The sequence below is a fragment of the Homo sapiens genome, chromosome 2 (assembly GCF_000001405.40).
Source record: "Homo sapiens chromosome 2, GRCh38.p14 Primary Assembly".
Classification (NCBI taxonomy): Eukaryota; Metazoa; Chordata; class Mammalia; order Primates; family Hominidae; genus Homo; species Homo sapiens.
The window spans coordinates 121,770,686-121,777,710 of record NC_000002.12 but is presented as its reverse complement, the minus strand read 5'-3'; the positions used below and the strand labels follow the sequence as shown (position 1 = coordinate 121,777,710).

The 7,025-nt window shown below is 46.5% G+C and overlaps 2 annotated features.

The window, feature by feature from the left end:
• Positions 132–1,106: an enhancer, noted in NCBI's record as "H3K27ac-H3K4me1 hESC enhancer chr2:122534181-122535155 (GRCh37/hg19 assembly coordinates)". NCBI's record gives its function as "activates a minimal SCP1, AML or CMV promoter by ChIP-STARR-seq in naive H9 embryonic stem cells {active_cell/tissue: H9 hESC(naive)}" and the evidence as "EXISTENCE:reporter gene assay evidence [ECO:0000049][PMID:30033119]".
• Positions 1,107–2,081: an enhancer, noted in NCBI's record as "H3K27ac-H3K4me1 hESC enhancer chr2:122533206-122534180 (GRCh37/hg19 assembly coordinates)". NCBI's record gives its function as "activates a minimal SCP1, AML or CMV promoter by ChIP-STARR-seq in naive H9 embryonic stem cells {active_cell/tissue: H9 hESC(naive)}" and the evidence as "EXISTENCE:reporter gene assay evidence [ECO:0000049][PMID:30033119]".

The window sequence follows — 7,025 nt, the reverse complement described above, 5'->3', positions numbered from 1 at the left end:
CCCACTAGAGAAAGGAGATTAAAACATTCTAAGGATAGAAAAAGAGTTGGAAGACTATTCAGAGTGAGAAATTCATGAGAATCTCGGCTCCTAACCAGTCCCCGAAGGTGATCTCCAAGATAAGAGGATGACAGAACCCCTCAACACATTCCGATCTGACAGAGGAGAGGGGACTTTCACCCCGCCCCTTGTCGAGACTCCCAGGAGGTGACAGCCTTGCAGTACTTTCTTGTACTGTTAAGGCATGGAACAGTTCTATAGAATGGCAACCAACATGCTGGGGCAACCCCACAAGACTCCCTTGGCCCCATGTAATGTGTAAGCCAAATTTCCCCACGTCTCCCAGTGGGGTGTAAAAGTCAACCAGTGGAGAAGAGCTGGTCCTGCAGTCAAGAGAAGGGAAAGCCGCAGCAAAGACAAACATGGGCCATATGGTCCGAGGCCCAGGAAAGGCGGGCTTCATGATGGATGCCAAAGTAGAATGAGGGAAACACACATTTGCACCTCCGAAGCTGTCAGCCTAAGGCAGAGTATGACTGCAGACCAGCCACACACACGTGCACACACAATCACACACACACACACTCTCTCTCCCTCTCCCTCTCTCTCTCACACACACATACTCTCTCACACACACACACACTCCCTCTCTCCCTCTCTCTCTCACACACACACACACATACTCTCTCTCACACACACACACACATACTCTCTCTCTCTCACACACACACACACTCTCTCTCTCTCTCACACACACACACACACACACACTGCCATGGCACGGAACTGAGATCCATCAAAGGGATGTGGTCAGAAGGAAAAAAAATCCCAAACTGAATTCTCATCCAAAATCACTGAGGACACCAATACGTCACTGAGGAAAAATACACTGGAATTGTTTATACTATAAGAGAGAAGACATGTTCAAGACAGAAATTAGGTCTGTTATAGAGAAATTTACTTTTTTGCATACCTAAGTTCATGGCCCATAAAAATCATACCTACGACACATTGTCTTAAAAGTGCAGTCTGATTCGCCATAGCCAAAACCAAAAGGCAGAGCAACCCAAGTACCCACTGGCAGGTCATAGACAAACAATATGTGGTCTACACACACAATGAAATGTTACTCAGCTCTGAAGAGGAAGAACATTCTGACACGTGTTACAATATGGCTAAGCCTGGAAGCCATTATGCTAATGAAATAAGCCAGTCCAGTCACAAAAGGATAAATACTGTGTGGTTCTACTGACATGTAGTAGCCAGAATTGTCTAATTCATAGAGATGGAAAGTACAATGAAGGTTGCTAGAGCTAGGAAGAGGGGTAAAAGGGAGTTATTATTTAATGGGTACAGAATTTCAGTTGCAAGGGCAGGCACAGTGGCTCACGCCTGTAATCCCAGCACTTTGGGAAGCCAAGGTGGGTGAATCACCTGAGGTCAGGAGTTCAAGACCAGCCTGGCCAACATGGCAAAACCCCGTCTCTACTAAAAATACAAAAAATTAGCCAGGCTTGGTGGTGGGCACCTGTAGTCCCAGCTACTCGGGAGGCTGAGGCAGGAGAATGGCGTGACCCCGGGAGGCGGAGCTTGCAGTGAGCCGAGATCGCGCCGCTGCACTCCGGCCTGGGTGACAAAGCGAGACTCTGTCTCAAAAAAGAAAAAAAAATTAACTTTTTAAAAGTGTTTTCCACAGCAGCAGCAGATCAGTTTTGAACCCTTGACACTGTCAAGTGGTGACCAGAATTCAAGGCTAAAGAACAAGCCAACAAGCATGTAAGTAGGTGATAGCAGAGAGAGAGGATGGGCTGGCTGAGGAAGAAAAGCAGTGCAACCCCTGGGAACACCTCCTCCTCCAACTGTCTGAGACACAAGCCATCAACCCCAGGAGTCACACAGAATGAGTCACAGAATGGGTCACACGACAGCTTCAAAAGTCAGGTGATGTGATGAATGTAAAAATGCTTTAACAAAGAAGAAAATGGCATACAACATCATCTAGTTTCATAGGAATATCCAACAGTGATATGTTTTTTTCAATAATGTCAGCTGTTAAATCAAGTTTACCTAAAGCTGCCTCCTTACATTTGTAAGTTCAGCCTAAAGGTTTCTCTGTACATCGTGAACTATAACAAGTGGAGGTGTAAACAGACCATAGCCTACACTTAACGCCAATCACCAAGTTTTGGCCAATCAAATGTAGCCATCCGTTTGAACCATGGTTCAAATAAGGCAAACATCCAGCTGTAACCAACCAGGCTGTTTCTGTACTTCATTTCTGTTTTCTGTCCATCACTTTCCTTTTACTTTTTTTTTTTTTTTTTGAGACGGAGTTTTGCTCTTGTTGCCCAGGCTGGAGTGCAATGGCACGATCTCAGCTCACTGCAACCTCCGCCCTCTGCCTCCCGGGTTCTGGTTTTTTTACTTGTTTGTTTTGTTTTTGAGATGGAGTCTCACTCTGTTGCCCAGGCTGGAGTGCAGTGGTGCAATCTCGGCTCACTGCAACCTCCGCCTCCTGGGTTCAAGCAATTCTCTTGCCTCAGCCTCCCAAGTAGCTGGGATTACAGGCGCCCGCCACCATGCCCAGCTAATTTTTGTATTTTTAGTAGAGACAGGGTTTCACCAGGGTGGCCGGGCTGGTCATAAACTCCTGACCTCAGGCGATCCACCCACCTTGGCCTCCCAAAGTGCTGGGATTACAGGCATGAGCCACCATGCCCAGCCATGTGGGTTTTTTTGTTTTTTTTTTTTTTTTTCCAGGACAAATTCTCACTCTGTCACCCAGGCTGGAGTGCAGTGGCGCCATCTCGGCTCACTGCAACCTCCATCTCCCGGGTTCAAGTGATTCTCCTGCCTCAGCCTCCCAAGTAGCTGGGATTACAGGCGCCTGCCACCTGATTTTTGTATTTTTAGTAGAGACAGGGTTTCACCACATTGGTCAGGCTGATCTCGAACTCCTGACCTCGTGACCTGCCCACCTCAGCCTCCGAAAGTACTGGGATTACAGGCATGAGCCACCACACTCGGCCTAATTGTTTGTGTTTTTAGTAGAGACAGGGTTTCACCATGTTGGCCAGGCTGGTCTCGAACTCCTGACCTCAGGTGATCCACCCGCCTTGGCCTCCCATAGTGCTGGGATTACAGTCACGAGCCACCGCGCCCGGCCCACTTTTCTTTTTCTGTCCATAAATCTTCTACCATGTGGCTACGCTAGAGTCACTGAGCATACTCTGGCTCAGGAGGCTGCCCGATTTGCAAATTGTTTGTTGCTCAATTAAACTCTTTTAAATTTAATTTAGCTGAAGTTTTGATTTTATCACAGCTTTGTACAAAAGGGGCAATGAAAAACGTGCTGCTAAGGGACAGAGGCAGCTTGACTGCAGAACCTGCGCATCCACGGAGCTTGCAGAGAACTGCAGACCAACCGAACCCTCTGCACTTTTGCGAAGGAGTTCAGCAAAGAGAAGGGACCATTCACATGAGCCATTAGCTAAACAATATCAAATCAAAAGGTCATAGTAGAATTCACAGGTATCTCAGAAAGTCTTTTAAAAGTCAGTAGTATATTTAGGATAAATCACAATGCAAAAAAATATATACACATCTTTATAATTTTTTGGCAATTTCCCTTTTTTTTTTTTTTTTTTTTGAAACAGCGTTCTCACTGTGTCACCCAGGCACTGCAGCCTCGACTTCCTGGGCTCAAGTGATCCTCCCGCCTTACCGCCTTAGTCCCCCTAGCAGCTGAGACTACGGGTGTGTACCACCATGCCCGGCTAATTTTTGTATTTTCAGTAGAGACGAGGTTTCACCATGTTGGCCAGGCTGGTCTCAAAGTCCTGAGTTCAAGCAATCCACCTGCCTCAGCCTCCCAAAGTGCTGAGATTACAGGCATAAGCCACCATGCCCAGCCAATTTCCCAATGTTCTATGATGATTTCTTATTTCTAATAAAAGTAGCACGAGTCAAAAAGGAGGAAAACATACAAAATGTCTCATGAAGCAATGATACAGACATTTAAATATTCCCTGCAACTCCCACCATACCTCTGACAGAACACCAGGCAGTATCAACTATATTCCCTCCCCTCCTTCCAATGTGTATTTTTTAAATGAAGATTAAAGCCAAGGTTCTCCTTCTCCTTCTGGAGTCAGCTCACAAATGCTTGTGCCAACCCCACTTCCTTTTTCCTCAGTTAAGGTAGTTGGGGAAATATTCCTCTTTCTGTTTTCAGTTTAAGGAAAGGTTACAGCTGCTTGGTGATACAGGCAGGCCACAGCCCAAGAACCTGGGCACCCATTTCACCAGTTTTATAAAACAATATAAAGTCATGTCCTTGTTCTTTGAGGGGGTGGGACAGGACATAAGACAGGCTCCCCAAGTCCCCCGGGCAGGACTCCTGTCGTTAACCCACTCATGCCCACCTCCGGGGCTGATCCCAGGAAGACTGACGGCCAAACTCTCCCGGGAACAGCTGAAGAAAGCGAAACTGGGTCCATCCCTGCTGATCCTTTGTTCTTTGCCTTGGAGATCTGAGAGTTAAGAAATAAAGTCCAAACAGTAACACTGACTGATTTTGAGTCTTTGCTGTGGCGGGGCGCGGTGGCTCATGCCTGTCATCCCAGCACTTTGGGAGGCTGACGCTGGTGGATCACCTGAGGTCAGGAGTTCGAGACCAGCCTGGCCAACATGGTGAAATGCCATCTCTACTAAAAATACAAAAATTAGCCGGGCATGGTGGCGGGCACCTGTAATCTCAACTACTCAGGAGGCTGAAGCAGGAGAATCACTTGAACCTGGGAGGCGGAGGTTGCAGTGAGCCGAGATCACACCACTGCACTCCAGCCTGGGCAACAGAGCGAGACTCCGTCTCAAAAAAAAAAAAAAATGAGTCTTTGTTGTATTGGTGCTGGTTCTAATAGTGTATCAAAGTAGAAGGGCCCAGTCCATCAACTGTGCTTTCAAAACAACCCTTTAAATGATTACAACAATCTTGCCGTCTTCCCCCAGAAAGTAAAAGCAAACATCCTGCCCTTTGTACTTCCCAACTGTGAAAAATTATCTGGCTTAACTTCCATTGTCAGGGTGAGCAAAGGGTTCCTCAAAGGAAGCTCTGACAGCAGGGACGTGGCAGAGGAAGCTGAAGGGGGATCTTTCTGACTTCTGAACTGGTCTTGCTGGCAGGTCCAGCTGGTGGGTCCAGACAGTGAGGCCAGCATTCTATCATGAAAAAACACAGCTGCAACGGATGAACGCACAACCCTAGCCAGAGCAGATGGCTGTGGGTAAATGTTAATTAGTATTAAATAACACCAGATGAGCTTGAGTAACTGATGTAAGGGTCAGGCTAAATAGGTTACTTCCTTTGTCATTTTTTTTCTGACAAGCCCAGCTTTCTTCTATGAGGATTCTACATATTTTCATAGATTTATTTTCCTTCAGCCAAAAACCTTAAAGTCTTCATAGTAAGTAAAGGATTTCTAGTGCAGTAGGAGAGAAAGCACAGTGCATCTGTCACATAACGGCCCCAGCTCCTGCTTGGGCAGACCTGGACACAGGCCTCTTGCTCCTCCCATCTTCTTGATGTCTTCAATCATGTCCCTGGGCTCCCTCTTCATCACAGTCACAGTTCCAAGATCCACTCTATATCTAAAGGACTCCCTCACCTCCAGCCTCAGGCACCCAAAATTCTAGTCCAAAAAGTACAGCCAGCCGTGCAACATCTAGCACAGTAAACTCAACACTTGCAAAATTGAACTTCTCATCTTCTCCTCTTCCCCCAGAAACTAGCTCCACTTTTCCCATGGATATTCTTTCAGAAGCTCAGGCAGCTTTTCACTTCTCTCAGCTACCCCAACTTCTCTGTCTACCCCAACCTCTCTGTCTACCCCAACTCCATCAGTCAGCAAGTTTGGCCAGTTCTCGCTCTGCAGTGCACTCCATCTGCCCTTACCCAGTCATGCCTATCACCAGCTACCCAATCTGACCCTTACCTCAAAGACAGCAAGAGCTTGCTCCCAGGTGTCCCTGCCTGTGGTCTCTCCCCATTGGTAACGTGATAGATGCAGGATTCAAAACTAAGACTGACTCTAAAGCTGCTCCCTCCTCGCCTCAAAAAAACCCTTCAGTCCTCCAATGCCTATCATTCGAAGTCCAAACTCCCTAACCCCCCAATTCAAGCTTTCCTAAATCTAACAATCCAACCTTGCCAGAGTTCCTCCTCCACTCACATGGGTGACATCCCTAACCCCATTAAATGTGATATGTTTCCACATTGGTGTCAATTATTCTGCCCAACCAAAATGACCTTCTCCTAGTTCCATGCTTGTCTAAATCTCACCTCTTTCGGTGGTGGCTCACGCCTGTTATCCCAGCACTTTGGGAGGCCAAGGCGAGTGGATGACCTGAGGTCAGGAGTTCGAGACCAGCCTGGGCAACATGGTGAAACTCCATCTCTACTAAAAATACAAAAATTGGCTGGGTGTGGCGACGCACACCTGTAGTCCCAGCTACTCAGGAGGCTGAGGCAGGAGAATTGCTTGAACCCAGGAGGTGGAGGTTGCAGTGAGCCAAGATTTTGCCACTGCACTCCAGCCTGGGCAACAGAGTAAGACTGTCTCAAAAAGAAAAAAAAAGGTGGGGGAGGGGGGAGGGATAGCATTAGGAGATATACCTAATGTAAATGACGAGTTAATGGGTGCAGCACACCAACATGGCACATGTATACATATGTAACAAACCTGCACGTTGTGCACATGTACCCTAGAACTTAAAGTATAATAAAAATATATATATATATAGAAAGAAAAAAAAAACTCACTTCTTTTCATGACCTAGTTCAAGCTACAGCTCCCAAACTATAGCAATTATTCAAAAGTTATTTAGAAACTAAGTACTGTGACTATGACATCTTTTCTGTTATTGTCTTGAATTTAAACTCCTAGTAGGGAACCCTCATATATTGCTGGTGGGAATTTAAAATAGTGCAGCCACTTTGGAAACAGATTGGCAGTTTCTTTAAAAAC